At 35.5% G+C, this 27,789-nt stretch overlaps 1 protein-coding gene and 1 non-coding gene across 58 annotated transcripts in view; both read right to left on the bottom strand.

Moving 5' to 3' along the window:
* Window positions 1–27,789, bottom strand: part of ANK2 (ankyrin 2) — a 678,115-nt gene that overhangs the window by 269,619 nt on the left and 380,707 nt on the right. The gene's annotated exons all lie outside the window — the stretch shown is intronic.
* Window positions 7,163–7,255, bottom strand: MIR1243 (microRNA 1243). The gene has a single exon (NR_031641.1). It is a non-coding gene; the product is annotated as a microRNA 1243 (primary transcript).

Raw genomic sequence — 27,789 nt, 5'->3', positions numbered from 1 at the left:
TAGTATAAATATTTGTAAACAAAATAAACTCATCACAAGTCCATTCGTAGTGTGTGATTTTTATTTCTCTTTTCCTTAATTAAGGAACAGATTGCTCCCATAGGAGATAGTAGCACATAATCCTTTTAAGAAAGCTAGGCAGATTAGACATTCCTACACAGAGTGGTAACTTTGCCTCTTTATAACTAGCTTATTCAGTAGTAAGCTGATGAGAAATTGATGTTTTTAAAATCTTTCCTTCTTGTATACTTGTGTTGCTCAAACTTAACTATGATTTCTATTTGAATGGAAAATAATTGGTATCAGTTCTCTGAGGAAAGAGAGTAGCTCATACTCACCAGCTGACCTCTGCACAGACAAGGCACCAGGTTCCAATTCCAGGAGCTCACAGCCATTGAAATGATGCATGCACCACATTAAAAGGCTCTTCCCATCAAACCTCCAGCAGAGATATAATTCTGGCTGAATTTTGAGCTCGTAACAAAAGCTGATTCCTTCCACAAAGCATCATGACCATCAATGGGATAAACTTGTGTCTGCCTTCAAAGGTAAGGAGCACACTGTCCGTTCACATTTAAACTTGAGAGCCAGCATAGACTGTCCTTCAGAGAGGGCATATTTTATTTTAAAGACAGGAGATAAAATGGCCATTTGCTGTCCTCACTGTCCAGCACTCCATTGATCAAATTCCAAAGAAAATCCTCTGCAGACATCAGGCATCAGTCAGGCAGCGTTTAATAACAACTGAGCTAGCCACATGCAACTTAATCTCCCCCTTCACTTTCCCTAGCCCTGCCCAGGAGAAGCAGCTATGCAATTGAACAGCATATATCGTCACTCTACCACAAATGTGGTATGGGTGCTAAGTGGAAAGAGAAGCAGATGCACTACAAAGACAGTTAAAACATCACCTAATCAGGGAAAAAAAAAAAAGAATGTGCTCACTTGAACTATGTTTGAACTATGTGCCAAGAGTTCATTATTCTAATCAAGTTCATGGTGTTAATCCATAGTTGAGGCTTCCTCTGTTTTTTGGGACTAATGAGTGATCGAGGTAAGGAAAAGCAAACTGAGTAAGTGAGTCCAATGGCATAGCACTCTCAATTTGTTTTACCTGAAGCCAAACCCAAAAGCCAATTTGATAATGCAAAATTACCAAGAAAAGCTTGCTCATAATATAATAGATCCTACTTTCTTGTGATAAGAATGTTTCCACAAGGAGATGATTTGGCTAAAATGAGAATGCCCAAAGGATATCTTCCTTCTACTCCTGCCTGAGGAAAGGAAACAAGGACACTCCAGCTCCAAATCAAAACAGGCGGTTTTCATAGGCTGAGAAGGAGATGTAGAAGCAGTCTCAAGACCCCCCAAGTGTATGCCTCTCAAGCTCATAACACTTCTGAAGTTTCACAGAAAATTTCTAGCTAGTAACAATGGCCAACAGACAAGGAATGAAAAGCTACCCTCGGGACACCCCTTGACATAAAGAAGATAGAGCTGCAGAAAGTGTAGGTCATAAATAGTGACCATTCTGTCACCACAGACCTCCCTTTATTATGACAGAGGAAGTCTGGGGATTACAGGCAGCAGCCACACTGCAGTGGGCAGAGGGAAGGGAAAGGTACAGAGAAGGGAACACTGAAAAAGCCACAGTTCAGAAGCAAAAGACATTTCCATACACATTCTGTCTCCCCCTGCATCCTCCCAACCCCACTCCAGCCTCAATCACTCATTCCCAAATGGACAAAGATGAGTGTGCAACAGCCCAGCTTGTGGAGTCTGCCTGTGTAAACAGGCTGGATTTGCTAGTTGTGAAAACTCTTCTGATGAAAAAATCCCCTCACTAGAACTTCCTAAACAAATGTATTTTGTGTGCTCTCTTTGACAGAAAATAAAGAAATTTATTCCAGAATCAGAAAAGCCCCAGGATGTTAAAATCATTCTTTTAATTTACTATAATAGTATCTTAAACTGAAAGCCTAGGGATTGAACTTAAAATTATCCTTTTAAAATATCCTTTATTTAAAATAAAAACTTTCTTATTGTCCCCATCTTATTAGCATACACAGCTTCTTTTTATGGTTGTATCTTCTTATCAAACACAGTTACTAAAGGCCTACTATGAGCCAGCCAGGAAGCACTGGGGATCTGGTAACAAAAATGACAAAACCCTTGTCCTCATGGATATGAAAATCCAGCCATAGAAGTGTTTCTTTTCAGCCTTCCTGGAACACCTCAGTCACTTTGTATAATCTACAGTGACTGCAATTACTAATATTCACATCTTGATAGAAAGCTGCTTCAAAATCTTCAAATGCTTAGCCCAAGTTTGAAACTAATATCTTCAAATGGCTTCTCAGGGCTGCTTTCTTCTCATAAATGATATTTTATTCTATTGCTCACAAGGTTTTTTTTCCAAAAAATATACTGATTTTGGATAAGAAATCCTCATAGTCTATTAAAGGATTGGAACACTACAGTTAATATCTAACTCCTCTATTTATTGCCGTGTTTTAAAACACATATAACTTCCCCTTTTGGTTTGTAACAGCTTTTTATAAAAGCTCTGGGTATATTTCTTAGCCCTTTTACTTTGGTCAAATGAAAAGCACTGAATTGTGGTTAAAATGTGAAAATTCAATCTCAAGCCTCTTAACCCTCAAGGTCACTGAGGATGCTTTTGTGTGCTCATTTATGTCGTGCCTTTATCCATGAAGAAATTTGTTGTTTTCTTTAGTAATTATATTTTTACTCAGAAATTATATGTTAACAGCTTTAGCATCTCAAGGGAAACAATTTTATTGGTAAGTTTGATCAATACCTGTAAGTTTTACATTTATACAGTGTCAACTAGATGTGTCATTTGGATAAACCTTTGATAGAATATTTTAATTAGACTATTTGCAAAAGAAAAAGATTGATTTCTCCTAATTGGGACAGAACTATTTTTAATTGTTATTCTTTATGTGACTCTAAATTTAAGCCATGTGTATCTTAAATTTTCACAAAATAATTTTGTATTTACATATAAATTAATAATGCTTAAAAGCCTGTAAATGTGATTTTAAATGACTGGGCTATTATTCTGTACTTTTTATAGACCATGAATTCAGTATGCTTGGCCAGTAAATAATTAGCAAAAATATTTTCTTATTTTTCAAAATTAACAATAGAAAAATGGCAAAATGTAATATTAGAGCACATCCAAATCAACTATAGATCAAACATGAAATCACTGATAAAGTGTCAGGTCTCCAGTTTCCCAACCCAAAGCCCTTATTGTTAAAACACAAACATAAACACTTTCAGCAATTCCAACAACCAATTCTATGGCTAGTAAAGTCCTGTGCAGCAGATACTACGATAAATATAGAATACTTATAAAACATGTTTCAATAGCACAGCCACTCAAAAAACAATCCCCCTGTGGCTGCATTGTTGGCACCAGAGAATTGAAGTGCTACCATCTGGTCATTTTTCACCTGGTGAAAATGACTATTGTATCCATGCGTACTTGGCAATTTTTATGAAGTTGTAAACATCTGGATTATTAATGCTTCTGGATGCTATCATATTTAACTCTTTTTTTCCCTCTGAAAGAGCTTCTGTGATCCATTTTCACTTCTTTACCAACAGACATAAGATATGCTTGCACCTGTTGTTTAACTAAACTGCAAATAAAATCTATTGCTAGGGATTCCTTGTTTCTTGCTTTAGGCATGAGATACGGTTTGACCACCCAAATCTCATCTTGAATTGTAGCTCCCATAATCCCCACGTGTCATGGGAGGGACCCAGTGGGAAGTAATTGAATCATGGGGTAGGTTTCTCCCATGCTGTTCTCATGATAGTGAGTAAGACTCACAAGATCCCATGATTTTATAAAGGGCAGTTCCCCTGCACACACTCTCTTGCCTGCGGCCAGGTAAGATGTGCCTTTGCTCCTCCTTCGCCTTCCACCATGATTGTGAGGCCTCCCCAGCTATTTGGAACTGTGAGTCCATTAAATCTCCCTTTCCTTTATAAATTACCCAGTCTCTGGTATATATTTATTAGCAGTATGAGAACGGACTAATAACAGCATGACCAGCACTTTTCATTTTATGCCCACTCGTGCAAACTCATATTCCATAAATATGGAAACCTAAGTATAAAATTAAATAAAATCTTCTTTAGAAACCACATTTTCAGAGGTAAAGCATGTTTGAGCTTTTTTGTGTGACATGGTCTTTATATCACTTCTAAATCACATCAACAACCAAAACACTAAGCACCTGTATGAACAGCATGTGTTTCCAGCTAATAGGAGCCAGGTATTCAGACAAACACTACTGCTGAAACAAACTAGAAATACTGGATAAAATATAAATAACTTCTTAAAAGCAACAAACAGCTGGAATGATAATAAGGAATTGCTAGGCAAAACTGAAGGAAAATGGAACCACTGAAAGATAAGCAAGCAGGGAAATTGCTTTTGTTTCCTAAGTGCATTTCCCTGCAAACTTGAGCTTTTATTTTGAAAAGTTCCAGGCAAGAAGGCAGATATCGAAGGTCAATGTCCACACAAGGTGCACAGTCCAATAGGGAGCCCTCTTCACAGTCATCTGAGACCTCAAAAAGCAATACTCTAAGGGTAAGAGCAGAATAATAAATAACGAGACCTTCAGCAGATTTATAACCTGGGTTTTATTGCCGAGACTTACAACAAAACTCAAGCTTCGAACTTGGTTTAAAATGCTCCACAAGTCACTTGTGACCACAAAGACTGGCAGAAGTAATGTCAAAGACAACCAGGTGTACAGCAGAAACAACAAAAGAGAGAAACAGATCTATAAAGACTTCAAATAATTGAGCTGTGAACAAGGCACTGTGAAACAAAAGGGATGGAGTAAGGAAAGCAGTTATGGTTCCCCAAAGTAGTATCACTTAGTTGGGAAGTTAAGCAAGCTGAATTCTTTGAGTACAGATTTATTTCATGGGTGTTTTTTGTTTTTTTCCACTACCTCTCCACCAAGACATACTGCTTTGCGTAAGAACAGATGATTATAAATGTTAGCAAATGAGAAATATAAGCATCAAATGAATGGCAGAAACAATATGTACTACGGGACTTCAGAAAGATATACTCTTTTCTTAATACAAAGTTTTGATAATGATGTAATAAATCTTAACAGAGAATTGCAACTTGAAACATTTGAGAATTCAAAAGCATCACCAAAATCTGATAAGATGTAATTGAAAGAATTCAAATAACATTTTTCTCACAAATTAAAAGCTTTTTATGAAAACCAAACTTGATGGTTCAGGTAGAAACTTTGGGCAATATTTAACCCAACTAACTTTGTAAAATAAAAACATCTGTAGAGTTTTTTTTTCTGTTTCAAGTCCTGTGATACACATAGCTTAAATCCCATGTCTTCACAGACAAGGAGTAAATTCTCTCTCTCCCCTAATTTCTTGAAAAACAGAGTAGAAGCTCTCTCAGCGAAACTTTACTTAAGAAAATGTTTCCATTTTCTCTATAAATGCTGACTGATGCCCACCATACATTAAAAGCTTGTAGCTTACTAGCCATTCTATAATATGTGTACATTCTTCTCCCACTAGTAAAGTTATATGCTCAGCAAGAGTCAAGTATGTTTATCCCAAACCTTTTGATCCTATTGTAGTTGCTATTGCAATTACATAATTTAAATAAATCTTAGATTATCTAATAAAAATGAGTTCCAAAAATTATTGCTTTATGAAAATTACGATGCATGCTTTGTAAGAACTTAATAAAAAGGAATTTCTACAATATTGCTATTGAATTATGGGTATGTCTGAAACAAATCAAAAAGATTGGGGAGGAAGCTTCGAAAATATTTAGAAGTTCTACAATCAGATTGTTTTGCAAGTGTCTTTAATTACTGACTGCCTTTAACAGATAACAAACCAGTGAGACAATGCCTACAAATAGGTATTGTTTATTTTTAAAAACACAAAGCTAAACCCCAAATTCTGGAAACTTCTTAAATAAAATATACTTAAATAAAAGGTCTTGACTGGACATCAGATCATTGGTAAACGAATGTCCAACTTACGTGTTTCAAGTTGAAATAAAATGTTTAAACTACGCATATATCAGTTTTTTCTCCACTTTAACCATCTTTTTTATTAACTGATCAAATAATGGTTTTGCTACTGCTATGAAATAAAGCTTCTTTATGTGGTAGAGGGCATCAAATTTGGGTTTTTGAATCCTAATTTGGGTTCTATGTTGGGTGCATTACTTCACCTTTATGGGCTTCAATCTCATTTCACATGAATGAAGACAATATCTACCTAACAGAACCAAGTGAAATAGCACATGTAAAACACTGGTAACAGATCAATAAATGATACTACTATGATTATTGTTCTGAAACAAAACATGAATATAAAAGCATAAGATAATAAAGTAGATTTACAAGACCAAAACAAGATGGATGGACTGGAAATAGATAGACTCATCCCCAGAGATAGTGTGTGTGCAAAGAGATTGCTGATCACTTTGAATGGTCAGCATCATTAATAAGCTCACACTCTTTATGACTATTTGGTAATGATAAAATCCAACACTGGCTGGGCGCGGTGGCTCATGCCTATAATCCCAGCACTTTGGGAGGCCAAAGTGGGTAGATCACCTGAGGTCAGGAGTTCAAGACCTGCATGGCCAACATGGCAAAACCCCATCTCTACTAAAAATACAAAAATTAGCCAGGCATGGTGGCATGTGCCTGTAATCCCAGCTATTTGGGAGGCTGAGGCAGGAGAATCGTTTAAACCTGGGAGACTGAGGTTGCAGTGAGCCGTTATCACGCTACTGCACTCCAACCTGGGCAACAGAGCAAAACTTCGTCTCAAGAAAAAAAAAATCTAACACGCAACTTGGAACACTGTGGAATGAGTCTTAAAATCAGTGAGCATGTGTGCTTGAGAAAGTATTTAATATCCCTGATAGAAGTAGAGCTATTTATAGTCATTTTTGTTAATGGGCTTCATTATCAAAGATTTACACCAGGCCTTAATCAGAATAAAGGGACGCCTCACAAAAGCTTTGTTTCGAATGGAAAAACACAACAAAGAACAATCACCATTTGACACCAAGTATGCATAATTCCAAATGGAAGTCTCTGTAATAGGTTCTTTTAAAAATAGATTTATTACCAAAGCAAAGTAATAAATAGGCAGGAGATGGACCTTTATTTCACTCCTATAATTGATCCAGTTTTAGTTAAGGGCAGAAACTGGCCCAGTTACAGGAATAAAATAAAAGAGTACAGAGTCAACCAATCTGTCAGCTTGGCACACCTATGAAATATTGTGAAGAAAATTTGTCAGAATAAGCATCTTTCTCACTCATTAGATTGGAGATGAAATGTCACCTTTCCCAAACAAAACAAAACAAAAACAAACTAACAACACATACAACCACACGGTAGGAACTACAGTTACAATTGAAGACAAAATCCAGGAAGAGGAACTTCTATAACTTGGGCATCATTCTGCTTATATATTTTCCATGCGGTGTCAGCATTAAGGATTACGACTGATCCCAAAAAGAGCTGACTTTAAATGTGGGAGTGTATTTTTGGATAAATCAGAGTGGAGGGTTTCAATTATCCTCCACACCTCTCTGGGCCTTCTGGAGAGGCAGCTTGGAGGCCCTTCTCCAATTAAAGCAGAGAGTGTATCTCACTTCCACACTGTAAAACTCTATCTTAAGAAAAGGATCTGCTGCTTAAAACAATCTGAAAACCACTGAAATAACCCATCTGAATTTTTTTGTCATGTGTGTTCACAGAAACTAATGGAGTTTGGTAGCCCTCTGCTGGATGAAAGATATTAAATCCAGTTGCTCTGAAGTACTATTTGAGGATTTAAAAGTCTTCATAAGGTTTAGAGGGCTACTTTAACATTTGCTGTGTATATTTTTGTGTTTAGTGGATATTTTTCTGCTTTGCAGAAGAGAAGAAGACAATGTCCTTTCCGTCAAGCCATACCATATAATAGTAAGCTAGAATAACTGAATACAAATTATAAATTTAAATACTATATAATTTTTTGAGTAAAAATAGGAATTGACAGAAAGCTAGTAAAATTTAAGCATTAGCAAAATATTTATAAGTTAGCAGTTGCCACATCCCTCTCCCAAATCTCTAATGGGGTTAAGGATTTCTCTTAACTTCATTGTAGGTTAAATCAAAATATGTATAACGAATTTCTTTAAAGTTTGTTTATGCAGTCTCACACTGTACACTAGTACACATTAAGTTAAATCTAGTCTTACACACATTTGAGTAATACAATATGATCAGGTTTTTTGTTTAAGGTAAGAAAATTTCAAACATGATGGCAGAATTACCATAGACTATTCAGCTTTTAAGTTGGATGTACAAACACAGTTTGTGAAGCATGTCAGATCATGGAATAATACTCTACAGAAATTGTTTCACAAATGAACCTTCATGCCTATAGCTGACCCAAGTGGAAAATGATTTAATGTGTGTTTGACAGCAATAGTAAAATTAATGAGTCTTGAAATAGTTTCTTATAATCTTGGATCAATTTTTGGTTAATTTTATTCCATATAGCTAATCTTTTCAAAATCCCATCTTTCTATCGTAGCAATTAAAACTGTCTCTTACTTTCCACCTTCTCTTTTCTCTTGTTACCTGTCTGGCCTCTGTCACTGCTGCTTCCTAAATCAACTGATAAGGTCTTGCCTGGTCCACAGTCTCTTCAACTTTCCTATCCTCACCACTTGATACTGACTTCCAAATTTTGCTAAGGAATTAAGGAATTCTTTTACAATTCTCCAGAACACAGAACCAATTTACTTTTGCATCTCGGTTCAGATAAAAAAGTTTAAACTTTGATGTCTAATTATAATTCCAACCTAGGTTAATTATATGCCTAAGACTTCAGAAGGGCTACCTACTCATAAAATTTGCCTATGACCAACTGCTCATAATTTTACTAAATAGCCAAAATTCCTCTCCTCCTGAATTTCTATTCAGCTTTGCCTGTCTGCTAGGGCACCCCTGTCATGAACATTAGCCTCTCAATCTGATTGGATTCTCACCTATTTCCTGGAGTCATTTTCTAGGGTTACCACAACCATCAAGTATGCTGAATTGAGTTACATCCTGTTTCTGCTGCTCACTGTCCATAACTAGATACTTCCAGGAGGGCTCCCAAGATACTATACTATTACCTAAATTATGTTCTTCATTGTTACCCATTATTTCTTATTCCACTAATTTTAAATCCCACTCACTTTGTTTGCTATATTTTTATGATCCTGCATTCTCTTTCAGTTTTTTCCCAGTTATACATGTTTTTGTTGTTGTTATTGTTGTTGTTGTTGTTGTTTAGCTTTGAGATGGAATCTCGTTCTATCACCAAAGCTGGAGTGCAGTGGCACAATCTCAGCTAACTGCAACCTCTGCCTCCTGGGTTCAAGCGATTCTCGTGCCTCAGCCTCCAAAGTAGCTGAGACCACAGACGTGTGTTACCACACCCAGCTAATGTTTTGTATTTTTAGTAGAGACAGGGTTTCATTATGTTGGCCAGGCTGGTCTCAAACTCCTGATCTCAGGTGATCTGCCTGCCTCAGCATCCCAAAGTGCTGGGATTACAGGCATAAGCCACTGTGCCCAGCCCTCCCAAATTATACATGTTTTTCACAATTCTCTTCTCTTCTTCAAAACAACTATCTAGATTTGTAGAGCTCTTTTTTGTGATAATAAGGTTTTTTAGAAGGTTTTATTTTGTATAAAGACAAACTAATTGCTTTTCTTTTTCACCTCATTTCCCAGCCCAGACTTCCTACCACGTCTCCATCAAAATCTAAAAAGTAAAGGAAGAAAAGAAGAAAACAACAACAGCAACAACCCCAGCATCTAACTTTTGAACAAAAGGTGGTAGTGTTTCACCTAAGGAACAGGAACATTAAGTAGGAGTTATATTCTTACCTCACCACTGAAAAGAACAACAAGCTGGAGAATGACAATGTGGACAAAGGAGATTTAGAATTTGATCTGTTCCTCTTACTTATCAAACCCTAGGTTTCCGAGACCCTTGGTATTTTAAAAAATACTGCCTAAGTCAGGATTTTGTCTGTCTTCAGAGGGAAGGAATCAAAGGCATGGAGGAAAAGGGGGACAAAAATCACAACTAATATTTTTTAACCTAAAACCCAAATATCAGTATTTTATTCTACATTGAAGCTTAAACATCTTACTCTTGTTTTATATTTAAGCAAATATTCAGATGTGTGTACATATTCCACTTCCTGAGAATGACTAATGGATATATTTAATATGTATACTCTATCAGCTTTACATAGCTGACTTTTAAAACACTGACAATGGAAGCTTGTACTCCTAAATGTTGATGAAGCATTAAAAGCACAAATAATATTCAGTAATGCATTTCCAAAGATCTTACGTGCTTCAAAAGTACAAAAGCAGTCTTTTAACTGGATTTTGATTAGTGCTAAGCAGAATTCTAAATTATTTTAGTCATTAGTCATAAATTCATGACGATATATACTGGAGTGTCTTTTGACTACTTTCAAAAATTGCCATTAAAACATCACTGACATTCTTTTCCTTAATTTCAAAATACATTTCTCACTTAAAAGAAATCTTCAGTCTTAGATAATACTATTTTTAAAACAGTTGATGTTTTTGTATCATGAAGGCCATCAAACCCAGTCAATTTCTGGCCATCTAAGCACCTATTTCTTAGCATTTAATGCCAAGGCTTTTCTTATATGAATGTTTAAAAAAAATTAGTGAAAGAGGATGAAACGTTTCAAGTCCTCATGACATCAGCCATATCATAGTATTTGCATTCCACATTAAGGACATCTTCATTTTATGCTAAGGATTATAGCAAATTAAGTTGCAAAGAAAGCTCTATTTATAGTTTAATCACTTCAGGAGTAGACAACACAGGATTACATTTATGTTGAGCATGATGAAACAGATAATATTTTAAAATTAAAATATACTTGTTTTTCTAAGTAAATGAAATACTTAGGCAAATACAAGGAGGAAAAGCAATTCTGTGAAGAATGCACAAAATTAAATACCATGTTGCATTAACTTTTGTCCTGTTTTCTTTTCCTCACCTCCCCTCCTCCCTGTGTTACACTTTTCTATTGGCCCAAAGTGAGGAGAATAGATGGATAGGAAAATAACTTGGGAAAGTGAAGAGGAACTGAAAATGAAGTTAGTCCTGGAACAAAAGGTGAGAACAATAAAGAGGAGGATATCTAGAAATTCAGTTCCGTCTAGGTATGTGATTAAGATACTAGGAAATATCTTACTAAATTACTAGTGACCTCCACGTTGCCAAATCTCATAGAGATTTGACAGTCCTCAGATTATCTGATTTTTTAACAGCACTTCACAGTTGGACATTCTTCCTTCTTTTGGAATTTTCTTTTCTTAGTTCTGGCACTCAACTTTCTCCTGTTCTTTTCATGGTCTTTCTGCTTTGCTTCAGTTTTCTTTGAGGTGTCCTCCTTTTCTATCGGAACTCAAATTCAGAACTGTCCTGGGGCTTCCTCTCTTCTTAGCCTATACATGCGCCCCACCAGCAGCATCTGCTCCCATGGTGGTAAATCTCATATATGTGCTCAATCCAAAGTTCCTATCTCTGGTTCTAGCCTCTTTTCTGAGCTGCCCATCTGACATATCCACTTTGATGTCTCACATACTATTTTTGGATTTTTTCCCCCGAAATGTTTTTTTCTCCAGGCTTCCCCATCTAAGTGAATAGTACCCAGCCAAACACCTGGGAGTTGTCCACATTCAATCTATCCCTGAGTCTTATAAATTTTTCCACCAAAATATATCTTCCATGTACACTTTTTTTTCATCCCCACAGCCACCAGCCACCGCTGCTGCTCACCAGGTCTATAACCATAACATCCTATCAGCTACCCTACTTCTACTCCATCCCTCCACCATTCCTCTCAGTGTAACAGTGTCAAATTATAGAATTGTTTCCACCTAGCCAATGCCCAAATAATTCCAATAAATTTCCATTAAACTTAGTAACAACTCCAAAGCCTTCATGAGCTGGACCCTCTTTGCTTCTCTATCCTCACCATACACCGGTGACACTGGCCTTCTTTCAGTCCCTATGTGCATCAAGGTCTTTCCCACTTCAGGGCTTGCATGTGTACTTCCCTCTGCCTGGAATGTTGTCCTCATTCTTGCATCTGACTCATCCTTCAAATCTCAACTTCAGTATAACTTGGTCATAGAAGCCTCCCTTAATGCATTCCCAACTCAAGCCAAACCAGGTCTCCTTGTAAAACTCTCTTATACAAACCTGTGTCCTCTTTCATAGCACCTACCACAACTTCTAGTAATATAGGTAATTGGGTTCTTATTTGTTGAATTTTTTTTTCTCTCCATAGAAATACAGACTCCACTAAGACAAGTTCCTGGTGCCAAAAAACATTAACTGACGTGTTATATGAGCTCTGTAACTTTTTCTTAGATAGATGAATGAATGCATGAATGTATGAAAGAATGAAAAATTTGTTGTTGCCTAAGAACATTGGAAGGAATATTGATAATTAAAAATGCTAAAGTTATGTATCTTTAGAGTCCAGTTAACACCACTAATGCCTAGAATTTGACACATCCCTTGGGATCCATATTGAATTTCCTAGAGAAATTAAGGATATTTCCTTCTTACAGCTAGAAGAAATACTATCTCTGCAAAAAGTTACTCTGTATTTAGTCAAAGCCTGATTTTTGGCAGTGTAGGGAGAAATATCAAATTCATTCATGTATGTAAAAAACTAATTATGATACATTTACATATATACATTTGGAAAGAGATACATGAACATGTTATCAACAGTAATCTCTATAATTCGGAAAAATGTTTTTGTTGTTGATTTTATTCTATTTTTTAATTAATTAAGGTCTATAATTTGCATCAGAGTTTACTTTTTATGTTGTACAGTTCTATGAGTTTGGACAAGTACATTGTGTCATGTATTCCAGGATCACACAGCATTACAAGATCATACAGAATAGTTTCACGACCCTAAAAATTCCCTGTGCTTCATCTATTCATCACTTCCCCTTCTCCCCACAAAAGTTCTGAAAAACACTGATGTTTTTACTATCTCTAAAGTTTTGCCTTTTCTAAAATGTTATATAGTTTGAATCAAATGGTATGTAGCCTTTTCAAAAGGGCTTGTTTCTTCACTTAGCCATATGCCCTTACAGCTGCTGCATATTTTTTTGTGGCTTGATAGTTCATTTGTCACTGAATAATATTCCATTGTAAACTGTAATATCACAGTTTATCCATTCATCTATTGAGGGATATCTTGGTTGCCTCTGGTTTTTCACAATTATGAATAAAGCTGCTGTAAACATTCAAGCGCAGATTTCTGTGTGCACCTAAGTTTTCATTTCATTTGAGTAAACACCTAGAAGTATGATCACTAGATTGTACAGTAAGACTGTGTTTAGCCTTGCTAAGACACTACCAAGTTGATTTCCCAAGTGGCTGTGCCATTTTGCATTCTTAACATCAATGAATGACAGTTTCTGTTGTTCCACCTCTTTGCCAGCATTCAGTATTGCCAGTGTTTTGGATTTAGTAATTCTAATAGGTTTGTACTGTAAAACAACATCTTGTTTTAATTTGTGATTTCCTAATGAGATGTAATGTCCAGCATCTCTTCATATGCATCTTTTGCCATCTGTATATCTTCTTTGATAAGGTATCTGTTCAGATCACTTACACATGTGTAAACTGGATTGCTTGTTTTCTTGTTGTTGAGTTTGAAGATTTCTTTGTATATAATGGCTACAATTTATCAGATATGTGTTTTGCAAAGATTTTTTTTCTTGTAGCCTGTGGCTTGTCTTTCTATTCTTTTAACTGTGTCTTTCATAAAACAGAAGTTTTAAATTTTAAAGAAGCCCAACTTATCAATTTTTGTTTTCCTGAATCATCCTTTTGGTACTGTATCTAAAAACTCATCATCAAACCCAAGGTCACCTAGATTTTCTGCTATGTTATCTTCTAGAAGTTTCATCGTTTTACATTTTACATTTAACTCTTGATCCATTTTGCATCACTTTTTGCGAAAAGTATAATATCTGCCACTAGATTCACTTTTTGTCGCATGTGGGTATGCAGTTATTCCAGCACCATTTGTTGAAAACACTCTCATTTCTGCATTGAATTGCCTTTTATCTTGGTCAAAAATCAGTTCACTGTATTTGTGTGTATCTATTCTGGGCTTTCTATTCTTTTCCATTGATCTATGTGTTAATTCTTTCACCAGTACCACACTGTCTTGATTACTATAGCTTTATATTGTCTTAAGTTGGGTAGTGTCAGTCCTCTGTTATTTTTCTTCCATATTGTGTTTATTATTCTGAGTCTTTTGCCTTTCCATATAAACTTTAGAATCAGTTTGTCAGTATCCACAAGACAACTTGCTGAGATTTTGATTGGGATTGTATTGAGTCTATAGATCAAGTTGAGAAGAAGTGAAATCTTAATAATATTGAGTCTTCTTATCTATGAACATGGAATATTTATTTAGATCTCCTTTGGTTTCTTTCATTATAGTTTTGTGGTTCTTCTCATATATATCTTATACATGTCTTATTAGAATTACACATAAGTATTTCATTTTTTGGTGCTAATGAAAAATTCCAATTCCAATTGCTCATTGATGGTATATAGGAAATCAGCTGACTTTTGTATATTAACCTTGTATCCTGTGATCCTGCTATCATCAATATTAGTTCCAAGAGGTCTTTGTTATTGTTGTTGACCATTTGGGATTTTCTACATAGACAATTATGCCATCTGTGAACAAAGAGAGTTTTATTTCTTTTTTCCCAATATATCTGTTATTTCCTTTTCTTGTGTTATTGTATTAGCTAAGCTTCCAGTATGATGTAGAATATGAGAGTAAGAGAAAACATTTTTACTTGTTGCCAGTCTTAGGGGGAAAGCAGCTAGTTTCTCACCATTAAGTCTAATATTTGCTATAGGCCTTTTGTAGATGTTATTTATCAGGTTAAGGAAGTTCCCCTCAGTTCCTAGTTTTCTGTGATTCTTTTTATTTTTTGAGGAATGGGTGTTGGATTTTGTCTAATGCTTTTTCTACCTTCACTTATATGATCATACGATTTTTCTTCTTTAGGCTGTTGATGTGATGAATTACCTTAATTGACTTTTGAATGGTGAACCAGCCTTGTATACACAGAATAAATCTCACTTGATAATGGTATATAAATCTTTCTGTTCAATATTTTTACATTATTTTCATGACAGATATTGGTCTGTAGTTTTCCTTTCTTGTCCTGTCTTTATTGGGTTTTAGAATTAGGGTTATACCAGCCTCATAGGATTAACTAGGAAGTATTCTGTCTCCATTTTTTGGAAGACATTGTAGAGAATTGTTATCATATCTTCCTTAAATATTTGGTAGAATTCATCAGTGAAACCATTTGAGCCTGGTGCTTTATTTATTAGAAGGTTATTAACCATTGATTTGATTTCTGTCATAGATACAGACTTACAGATCACCTATTTCTTTTTGTATAGGTTTTGGTAGATTGTACTTTTCAAGGAATTAGTCCACTTCATCTTAGTTGTTGTGCATAATATTTATTTATTGCTCTTTTAATATCCATGGAATCAACGGTGATGATCCATCCCTCTTTGATTTCTGATATTAGGAATTTGTGTTTTCTTTCTTCTTTTCTTTGTTAGTTTGACTAAAATTTTATCAACTTTATATATCTTTTCAAATAATCAGCTTTTGGTTTCATTGATTTTACTCTATTGTTTTAAATTTCATTTGTATCTGCTGTAATTCTTATTTCTTTTCTTCTGTTTGCTTTAGGTTTATATAGTTCTTTATCTTCTCTAGTTTTCTATGATAAAAGCTTAGATTGATGGATTTTAATCTTTTTTCTTTTCCAAACAATTCATTCAATGCTATAAATTTCACTCAGTAGGCAAATATAAAAAGAAAGTGGAAACTCTGAAACATGGCTTGTCCAATATTACATGAATAGCATTTATAAACCACTAAGATATTTTAGACTTTATCATTTTATTTATCTTATATATACACAAGCACATTTATGATTTGTGTGTGTGTGTATATATACATATATATGTGTGTGTGCGTGTGTGTGTGTGTGCATATATATACACACACACACACACACACACACACATATATATACAAGAGGAAAATTTATCTATAGCTATTTTGGGTTTTTACTTTGAGCTAATGGCTAACTCAAATTTCAAAGTTAGCTTTGTAAAAGCTAAAATAATTAATAGTGCTCAAATATTTGCAGCATTCTGATTTCCCTACATCTGGGCCTATAATTTCTCTTGATTATGTCTAAAATTAATAGTCCTTCAAACAGAGTCAGCCCTTGGGCAAAAATTGGAAAGTTTTCATTTATACAGTGCTTCCTGAAATGAACATGTACCAAAAGCAGTAGCTTTTTCTCTAACACTAGTCCATCCTAATTTATTTTCCCTTTGGTTTAGGAAATAGAGTAATCTTTGATAAGAAAACACACTCCCAAGCTGTATAAATTGGGTGCAATTTGCATACTGGAGTCTACCACTCTTAGACAATAGCTCAACGCAGCCAAATCTACCTTACAGAGTATAAGCTAGGACTCACTCAGAGAAAAGGAATTATGTTGCTGAGTGACCTGAAGACAACCATAACCAATCTGAATGAGTTCTATTAACTTAACTCTAGCACAGAGATCTATCAGAAAAAAAGAAATCAGCTATACCTTTTTGTGGGAATAATTTAGGGGAGTGAATACTTGTCATGAAAGCACACCATCTGGCACAACTGGTGCAAAGGTCACATCATATAGACTATTCCAGCATATGAGAGAGAGAGAGTATGAGTGACTCACTTTAAGAAAATCTAATGATATAAAAAAGGAAAAGTGACACTGGACAACTCTGTAAATGACAGACATCCTAGCCCAAATCTGGAATTGAAGGAGTGATAATATTTGCCACAGAAAGGTCCAAATAAAATAGCCCTTGATGGCTTTGGAAGCAATTAATATTGCTTTTGCCCAAGGCATATGGTACTTTACAATGAAGCAAAGTATAATGGAGTAGGTCTTAGCTTGAATTTAAGCCCAGACTTAGACAAATTGTGTGGACTGGTAGAATGAGTCTTCCAGAGACCTACTTGCATAAGTATTGTGGCAAAATCGACTTACTGGGTTTTTTTCTATGTTTCTACATACAGCATTGAAGGCTTATTCTTCAATAGATGGTCTCCCTTCTTGCTTTGATAAAATAATAATGATAACAACAATAATAATAATAGTAATAGTTGGGCACATGGCTGCATATGTGCTCCTGCAGCATACATTTCCTAGTCTCATCTAAAGCAAAGTATGGTCATGTAACTATGTGATGACCAATAGAATTTTTTTAAAAAGAGTTATTTGCAGCTTTGGAAGTGGCCTTAAAGATAAAGCATAAATACTGCTATCCACTTTTTGTGATTCTGCTGGACATGATGGTTACAGCTTGAACCATCAGCTCAGGCTGTGAGGTGGAAGCCTCATGGTAAGGATGGCAGAGAAGCAAGATAGAAGGACCCTGGATTCCTGAGCCCATGGAGCGCCTTACCAGCCCCAGGTTACCAACGTCTGGATTTATTTTATGTGGGAGAGAAATGAACTACTATCTTATTTAAGTCACTGTGATTTTGGGGTTTCATTGGTTCCAGTGATTAATCAGTTATTTAACAAATCAATTAATCCTGATTGATGAGGAGACTGGGAGACTTTTGTAAACAGCTCATTCAAACGGAAGATGGAGCAATTCATAAGGAGACCCATGCAGTGACAAGGTGTCCTTCATAAAATAGGAAAGGCTGGTTGCTGTCACAGGCACTGAACTCCTGGTCAGCTTCTGAGTGCTCCTTATATTTGAACCCTATAGGAAGAATCGGGATGAACTTTGTAAGACGCTGGAGCACAGCTACACTACTTTGGCAGCCCCTCATCAGAGCACCATGGGGAAGAAGGGTTCTAATCAGACAATATGCACCTTTGTATCCCAGTGGAGCCTGGTGATAGACCAGAGGGACATGGAATAAAGGAAAGATGTGCTCAGATTCCACATGGCAGCCAACGAAGTGGCTCACCAGACTCATTAGCACAGATGAGAGCCTGCAGTTAACTACTATAAACATGCATGGACAAAAACTGTAGGAAGACATAATATGAGCATGCACAGACAGTGAGATGTAGAGTACAAATGTATTTATACAAGAAACTAGTTCTCCTTTTCATATGATAAAGAATTCTATTTTTATAAAAGAATTATTATTATACTTATAAACAGAAAGGTATAAATCTGTTTCACTTATTGTAACCTAGATTCTCCCCCAATCCTCATAATCTAATTTGTGATTCTACATTTCCTCTACTGGGGATAACAATAGAATAATAGAAAGAAAGAATAAAGAGATAGGACATGCCAGAACATAGCAGTTCAAGATCTAAACATTTCTTGTCTTCGTGCCTGATACAAATCACAGGCACACTCTCAGGCACCTAAATTCATCATTAAAATGACTCCAAATCAAAAACGCATTTTATGTGTAACAATTTTTACTCATATAGGTACAGTTTTAGAGTTCTTGGAGTATATAACCAAATTAAAAGCTGTAAGAAGAAAAAGGCACAAAAGGAAAAAAGGTAAATAATAAAGATATATTCTGAAGCATCAACACAGTAGAAAAAAATGCAGCCTAAAAAAGTCTCTTCTAGAAAAAGAAAATCAATATAAACCTTGATGTTTCCTCTGTGAAAAATTCCTGAGTAATAACTGCAGTCAAGCATCACTCAGCATCAGAGCACTTCTTGCCACTGAGGAATCCCAACATTGGAAGAGGGTAGTTCTCACCTTCCATTTTTGAAGATCTAATGTTCTATTTCACCAGCCCCTGCCAATTAGACTGTGCCACAGCATCTTAGCTGATGTGCAAATTGCTCTTATCTTTTAAATTTCACCTGTTGCTTTGACTTTCCCAGTGATGCTATTCTTCAAAGACACCACTGGAGGCCAGTCATGCTACAGCATGCATTCCAGCCACACCCTAAATTTTTTAAAAAACAAGACAAAAACCATTAATTAGTTACAAAAACAATGCTTTGTGACTAAACACAAATGAATATACACAAATCTAACTTAATTTTTGAAATGCAACATAAAGTAAAATTTTTACTGGTGATGAAATCTGGTTCTGACATTCCAATAACTAAATATGTTTAGTAACTAAATGTGTTTTTTATCTTGATTGCAGTGATGGCTTTATGGTTTATACATAAGTCAGAATTTATCAAATTGTACCCCACACTAAATATGTACACTAAATATCTATGTCAATTACATCTTTTAAAAGCTGCTAACAAGAAGATAACTGTAATACACTGCAGCTTCAATGTTTATACACACACGCGCACACACATGCATGCACACACACACACACACACACGTGCTGCACCCTCTTTTCCATCACATAAATTCCTTCTGGTCCTCTTAGTGCTGGATGTATTGTTTTGAATCCATAATCAAATATCCCCTTCAGATAAGTATCAAAATTTGTATTTAAGAACATGGTTCCTTTGAGAACGTCTTTTTTCTAACGGCTGAAGTCTTTGTCTCAGAGATAGGTTGATAAGAAATGTCTTTATTTATTTATGAATCTGATGCTTAAGCATAACAGCACTCCTCAGTTTTTAAGAGATCACTTTATCTCTTTTTTAAAAAACATCACAAAGCACTTCAATGGGATATGATTTGCAGATATATTAAAATAAGCAGAAAAATTGCCTAATTTAATTTGCATTCACATCAACATCCGACTTAATTGAAATATTTATTCAATGTGTTGGCTGCATGTTCACTGGGAAGATTTATCATTAATAATTGAAAAAGAGAAACAAAAGCCACAGATTAAGGAAGGTCCAAGAAGTTCTATTCATTTATACAAGTTTCACAGTATACTCTACTCCAATATAAACACTGGCCAAGTTAATTATGAATTTGGGACAGATTTTCAAGCAAAGAAGAGTTACAATGAGCTCCTAACTCAAAGTTCTTGGTTATCATAGAGTTGATATTTTGGTACAGACTCTACTAACATAAAAGGGAAGCAACAAATTCCAGTGAATTATTTAATGGAGAGCAGAAAACAAGGGTAAAGTTACTGTCTTATTTGGTGAAGGTTTGTTGTGTGCCTGCAATGATTCAGGCATATATCACCTAGATGAACATATGACATAAAGAGGAGAGGAAAGCTGACTTTTATTTGAAGCTTTAATAAATGTGTTGGCATTATTGCGTAATAAACAGAGTTTCAAAAAGCAAATTAGCTGGGCGTGGTGGCTCACACCTGTAATCCCAACACTTTGGAAGGCCAAGGTAGGCAGATCACTTGAGGTCAGGAGTTCGAGATCAGCCTGGCCAACATGGTGAAACTCTGTCTCTACTAAAAATACCAAAAATTAGCCAGTCGTAATGGTGGATGCCTGGAGGCTGAGGCAGGAGGATCACCTGGGAGGCAGGGGTTGCAGTGAGGCGAGATTACACCACTGCACTCCAGCCTGGGTGACAGAGCAAGACTCCATCTCGAATAAATAAATAAATAAAATAAATATAAATACACAAAAAGGAACTACTTCTTATATAAATAATGGATTTGGGATTAGATATAGGAAATCAGGACATGTGTTTGCAGCTTAAACAGTAATTTAATAATCTGAAGGATTTACTGAAACTTCTACAAGTACCCAATATAATGTCACAGAACAGCAGTCACCTGAACACCCTATCACAAATTCTCATAGATTAAGACAATGTATGCATAATAATTGGTTACTGCCAGTTCTATAAATCTATATAACTGCACTATAAGCATGTTAAGGCATTTTATATTCTTATATAATATCCATGAAATCAAAAAAGTTAAATGTCAGGCTCAAGGTCAAAAGAATTGGGACTAGAGTTTAGTCTGTGTAATTCCCATTCCAGTGTTTTTTCCACTAGACTCTTTAACCCTTGGAAAATTTATCTCCTTCTAATTTTTTGATTTTTAAAAGCATATTTATATATCTGTGTAGTAGATTTTGAAAGAAATTTCTAATTCCACTTGTCATGTAATCAATAAGATTATATAGCGCACCAGAGAAATAACTAAAAGAACCATCACAAGCACATATTAATCACATACTATATGTGGACAATATTCTATATATTTTACACTCATTACCTCATTTAATCCTTATAATAATAGGAGGTAGGTATTATTAATATCCCTATTTTATAGGCAACTAAATGAAGATTACAGAATTAAGTTGCTCTAAATCAACATGTAGTAAGTAGCAAGAAATGGAGGAAACTAAAATACATAGAACATAGTAACTTATTCAAAGATGAATAGCTAATTCCCAGAGACTGGCAGAATCCAATCTATCTAACCCAATGCTTCTCAGACATTAGTGTGCATAGGAATAATCTGTTGATGTAAATATAAATTCCGCTTCCATAGGTCAAAGCTGGGGTCTGAGAGTCTGCTTTTTACAAGCTCCTGGGTGATGCCCATGCTGCTGGTCCATGGACACTTTAATTAACAAGGACTTCTACACCAAGTGACTTCTCACTAGTTCATCTGCCTTGTGTTTATATGGTTCAGTCCTTGAAGTCAGAAGCAAAGGCAAGCCTGAACTATATTTAGTGCTGTAATGTATGTTTTTTATGTTGTGTAGTGTATGGATTGCAATTCTGTGGCCAGATGCCATTCTTAAAAAAATCCAAATAGTCTCACCGTAATTTTCATCTTTGTACATTACCACATTTAAAAACTAAATTTAAGAACACACATTGGCTATATTCAAACAATCTCAGAAGAGAAAAAAATGACATTTAAAATGGAAATATATGATTTTGTTTTATAAGGAAAATCCACAGTTTCTACCAATCTTCATATTAATGAATTTTGGTTTTGTCTGTTATTACAATACATATGACTATAAATCCTTAAGTTTCATACAGAATGTCCCCAAAGCCCAAAAAACATTGGACTCCTGCACATTCTTACAATGTCTGAAAAAAAGACCTTTGTGAAATTCAGTGGTGGCTGTCACGTATGTCTGAGAGAGCGCAAACTGAAAGAGGGTGGAGCCAAGCGATTAAAAGCACTTAATCTATAAAACAAGACTATAACCATCGCAAAGCATTGTATAATCTTTAAACAAATTCCTAGAAACAAATCCTCATGCTCTGCAAATTTAGACAAATTTAATCCCCTATCCATGCCTCAATTTTCTCATCTAAAAGTGGGGATATCTATCTCAAAGGGATGGCACATAATAAGCACTGCATAACGTTAGCTACTGCTATTAAAAGCTAATTTTGATAATTTTCTGTAGTGCTGATCCATTTCATTTCTCTGTTTTAGAAAGTAAAACTGCAGACATTTGGACCGTTTTGCTTTTTAATCAACATTAAAATTTCTAATTGGTAGGACAATGATAACTACTCTGGAAAAAATTCACTGCAGAATTCACAAGATTTTTAACAAAAATACAGATCAAATATCACATCTCTTAAAGACTGTGCCAATCCAAAATTTGATCAAAAGAAAGGTCTACTATTTAGTTAGTTTGCCTAAATTCCTGAGTTCAGAATTAAGGGTAATTTGGGATTATAATTATTGTCCTCCTTTCTTTGTAGCTTTCAGCAGCATTGAGGGAAGTCAAAATTTTAGGCTGTGTTGGCCTTGATATCAATATGATGCTAAAAATGACTGATAAGCAGTATTTTAAAAACAGCAGGTACAATCTGTGCTGAAGTATTACTGCCAAAATCAGGTTTTATGATATGGTTCAAAGATGGGCAGAACCTGTACCACTGCTATTCAGAGCTTGATCAGGTGGCATATGGAATTCTTAAGTTCCTCATTTCTCTTTGCACCCATCCATCTGAGGGTCTCAATCCTTTGTCACTGATGTACCACTGATATGCCCAGAAGTAGCCCTCAAATTGTGTTTGTTTATCAAACGTCAGAGGCATGTTTGAATCCTTCAGCCACAACTCTGTCATTGTCTCAAACTCAAATGCCTAGGACAACCAGGCAGATTATAAAAGTATGGAAAGTGAAAATAATGGTAACCAGGTTGCATGTGCCTCGTCTAACGAGGGTAACTTCTATTCAGCTTCAAAACATTATATTAGAGTGGGAATGCTGGCCCAATATTATCAGGTATTCTGACTTTTATCACGAAGCTAGAATTTAAGACTTTTACATAAAATCTTCTGATTAAAACATTGGCAACTAACTCAATTTTTAAAACATAATGTGAGCTAAACGAATATGCCTGTGGCTTGGTCTAAGTATTTTCTAATCCCCAGATTTCATGGTAGAGAACGCAACTTAAGTAGATATGTATATATAAAAGCAACTCCAAAAAAGGACCAAACTCAAAGCTTTTAATCTTTATAATGTCAGTTATTTGGGCCATTTAAGAACAGATAGTTCAGGGTTAATTTTCAAGAACCTCTTCCTAAGTAAAGTTCTAACGTCTCACCTATTCATCCCTTAAAAAAAGAAGTAATCAAGAGGATATCTGTTTCATACCACTATGTAGGTTTTCCATTTTAAAACTCATTTTAGCAAACTGTAATAATATTTTGAGATGCAAAAAAAATAGATTTTAGAAAAGTAAGGAGTTGAGAGTAATAATTTATTTCATAAAACTATAGCTTATCAATGATTTGAGATTTTTATGAAATCTATATTCAAAGTTAGAAAGATTCTTAGAAAGAGATTTAACTGAGGAATCTCACTCTTTGGGAAAGTCTTTTGAGTTAGGAATTTCTGCATTAGTGAAAACCATTCTATTCCCAAGATATGATTTCACAGACTTCCTTGTATGAGGACATCTGGCTGTAATACTATTAACTGCCCAAAGAATGGAAAACCGATTCCATTCAACTTTTACTCACTGTTTGATTTTACACACACAAACAACAACAAAACACTTAATAAAAAATACCACATATTATTACGTTTCAGAAAACCATTAGTGCTTCTGTAAGTCTAGAAGAAAGAATTATATGCCCTATGAACAGGAGGTTGTTTCATATATTTTTTTATCAGCTTTTTTATTTTTATTTTAATTTTTTCTGAGACAGAGATTCGCTCTTGTTACCTAGGCTGGAGTGCAGTGGTGCGATCTCGGCTCACTGCAATTTCCGCCTCCCGGGTTCAAGCGATTCTCCTGCCTCAGCCTCCCGAGTAGCTGGGATGGTGGCATGCACCAACACATCCAGCCAATTTTGTATTTTTCTTAGACACGAGGTTTCTCCATGTTGGTCAGGCTAGTCTCGAACTTCTGACTTCAGGTGATCCACCCGCCTCAGCCTCCCAAATGCTGGGATTACAGGCATGAGCCACCATGCCTGGCCTTCATCTGCTTTTTTAATTGATGAAATATCATTTCTACAATAAATACTAGCATCTTCCATAAATCATAGTAACATCTTAGATTATAAAGGGCTCTATTTATAGGTTTTCAAAGCATCTCCATGCTCATTACCTCCTTTCAAATATCTTCTTCACAATGGTAAAGCAGAACAAAATTAGGAGGCACATTTTAGAGACAAATAATCTAAAGTTTCACTTGCTAACATTCTTCAGTGCTTTGGTAATAATACAACATAACACAATGTGTTAAAAATTAAAGACAGAAAAGAATAGTGACTGATGGCATATGGTCATGAAATGTTTACAGTTCCTCCCATCAAGAGGTAGAATCTATTTCCCACCATTTAATCTGGGCTGGCCTTGTGACTTTCTGAGACTAATAGAATGTGGTGAAGTGGCACTATGACTTCTAGAGGCTAGAAGTCCTAAGAGATCTCGCAGCTTCCATTTCACTTTTTTGGAATACTTCCCTGAGACCACCAGGTAAGAAAGCCAGTTGGGCCCACTGGAGTATGAGAGAATTTAAATTGTCGGTTTTAAATCACTAAGTGTTGGGGTGGTTTGTTATGTTGTGATAATTAACTAGAGCAGAACTACGGCTCAAAAATATCAAATGACATGTTTAAATAGAGCTGGGACTCATGATAGGGAGGAGCAGTGTGAAAAGGGACACTGGAGCCAGAAAGATCTGGATCCAATTCACAGACCTGTCATTCAACTTCTCTGAGCCTCAGTTTACTCATCTGTAAAAATGTGGTTCTAATTATGTCTGTGCAACAATTGTGACAGTTCGGTGGATTCATATATAAAGGCCCATCTACAGATAAATGTTAATTTCCTTTCCAGTTCCTTTCCAGTCATTTGATTTCTGTTTCACCGTCTTTTGGAGACATAAAACGTCCTTTTCTAAATAACATTTTGTAAAAGAAAAAAAAAACAAAAAAATTAATATTCTCAGGTTTTCAAGCTTTGTTACATAAGCCCCATTAAAATAAGACTACAGTCAAGTTTTTAGATATGTGAGGCCAATTGTTGGTAATGGAGTGCTCTGGAAATGTCCACTTTATATAGGTAAACGCTTCCACTTTAAAGTTATGTTTCAAAATCAAAGATGATGCTCATGTTTTGTTTGCATAGACATGTATATTCTAAAATGCTGAAACCTCCCCAGCTTGTCCCCTTGCCCATTCCCAAATGAACTGTGACTATTGCCAGTCACTAACAAAAGGACCTCAGCATAGCCAGGAAGGCACCTGTGAAAACTCCCAGTGACCCAGTGCTGTCTCTCAGGGCACTGCCTGCTCCTCTGTAAAACCCCAGAGCCTGAGGTTCCCATAACATTATTTCACCATGGTACTTCTGATGCTAATGAAGAGCATCAAGGGACACAGCAATTTATCAGCCTTAAATCTATCCAGTGAATAACACTTATGGATTGATTATGATTTCTTATTAAAAAAAACCAGGCTTTTCTAGAAATTTTAGAAACACTTCCATTTTCAAAAAGAGAACCAATAAAATCAGTCTGAAATGAAATCTTTTGAGGTTCAGAGGTTAAAATAATACATTGGGAAAACTTATGCTCAGAATCTAGAATTTATTTATAATTCATTTCTAAAACTTTTCAGCCTAGTTGCAAGACAATGAAGTGAATAAATTTTAAACAATAATAACAGCCATTCAAAATACATTACATCTCCTGAAAAGTAATATTACATGAGCAAGAAATAGTCCCTTAAAAAGTTACTATATGTATAACTGTAGAACTTGTGGTAAGTCAGTATCTGTAAGGAAACTAGGAAACCTATCATTTTTTAAAGTAAATAATTATTAAATAATATAGATATAACTTCAAGGTCTTGATTCCTTCCTCAAAGACCAAAAATTAAAGTGTCATTGAAAATTCTTTCTGGTTACCTCTGCTTAAAAAATGATTAAGCCATCTTTGTTTAATATTTTAATTGCTTGTTAATAATTTTTGCTGCTTAAAGGAGCAGCAAAAAATAACACAGGAAAACAATGAGTTTAGTATAATGGATAAGAACTTTAAATTTCTATAGAATAACATAACACAAATGAAAAACAGAAAATAGTCTAGAATACTTTATTGTAAAGTTTGGAAAATTTTTAAACTTGGAACCTTTACAATTTGGTTCTAACCTATTTTCCACCCTCATCTCCCATAACTTTCCAACATACATCTTTTTTTAACAGCACTAAACATTTTGCTAAACCAAAAACATGCCAGGATGTTTCTGTCAACTCCTTGACTTTACCATGTGCTGCTCTCTCTGTTTGAAATACTCTTTCCTCTCTTCTTTTCCTGGAAACCTTGTACTCATCCTTCAAATCCCATTTCGGCATCATCATCTCACTGATGCAGTTAGTTACACTGCTCACAGCACTATACTCCTTTCTTTATAATGGCACCTAACACAATTTGTTGTTCCTTATTTGCTTATACATCTATGTGCCTATTTGAATGTAACCTTTTTGAAGTTAAGAACTGTCTTGGTCAGGTCTGTATTCCTATCACCCAACATAATACCTGCCATACACAGTGGTACTTATCAGGTGGTCTCTGCTGACCTCTGATCTCATTTCTGACCACTCTTTCTTGCTCCCTACGCTCCAGACTTACTGGTGTCCCTTACTCCTCCTCCAGCATGCCAAGCGAGTTCCCTTCCCAGGCATTATATACTTGCTGTTTTTCTGTCAGGAATGGACTTACCCTGACAGTCACAGAAGTAACTTCCTCTGTTCACTCCAGTCAAATCCTCTGCTCAAAGGAGCCTTCCCTAACTCCCCAAGTTTGAAGAGCCCCCCATCACTCTCTGTCCCTTTCTGTGCTTCAGTTTTCTTCGTGGTTTTTTTGTTTGTTTGTTTGCTTGCTTGCTTGCTTTTTGCCACTTGACATTATCTACCTGTTGGCTTATGTGTTAATTGTCTAGCCCCACCCACTTCCACTAGAATATAGTTGCCACAAGGGCATGGACTTTGTTTAATTCACAGCAGTGTCTCCAGCCCTAGAACAGGGCCTGCCAGAGAGTTGGCACTAAGTCAACCTGTGGTCAATAAAAGAATGATGTATGTTTTTGTTGTGTTGCAACTGTATAAAAAAAATCTATGAATATAAATAAAGACTAGAACATAAATGGGATGTTGTTAAAGTAATATGGGAGTCAAACCTCTTTTCG

This window comes from Homo sapiens, chromosome 4 (genome assembly GCF_000001405.40).
Source record: "Homo sapiens chromosome 4, GRCh38.p14 Primary Assembly".
NCBI lineage: Eukaryota > Metazoa > Chordata > Mammalia > Primates > Hominidae > Homo > Homo sapiens.
Note: the sequence above shows the minus strand (reverse complement) of the source record. Positions and strands in the feature narration are given on the sequence as shown.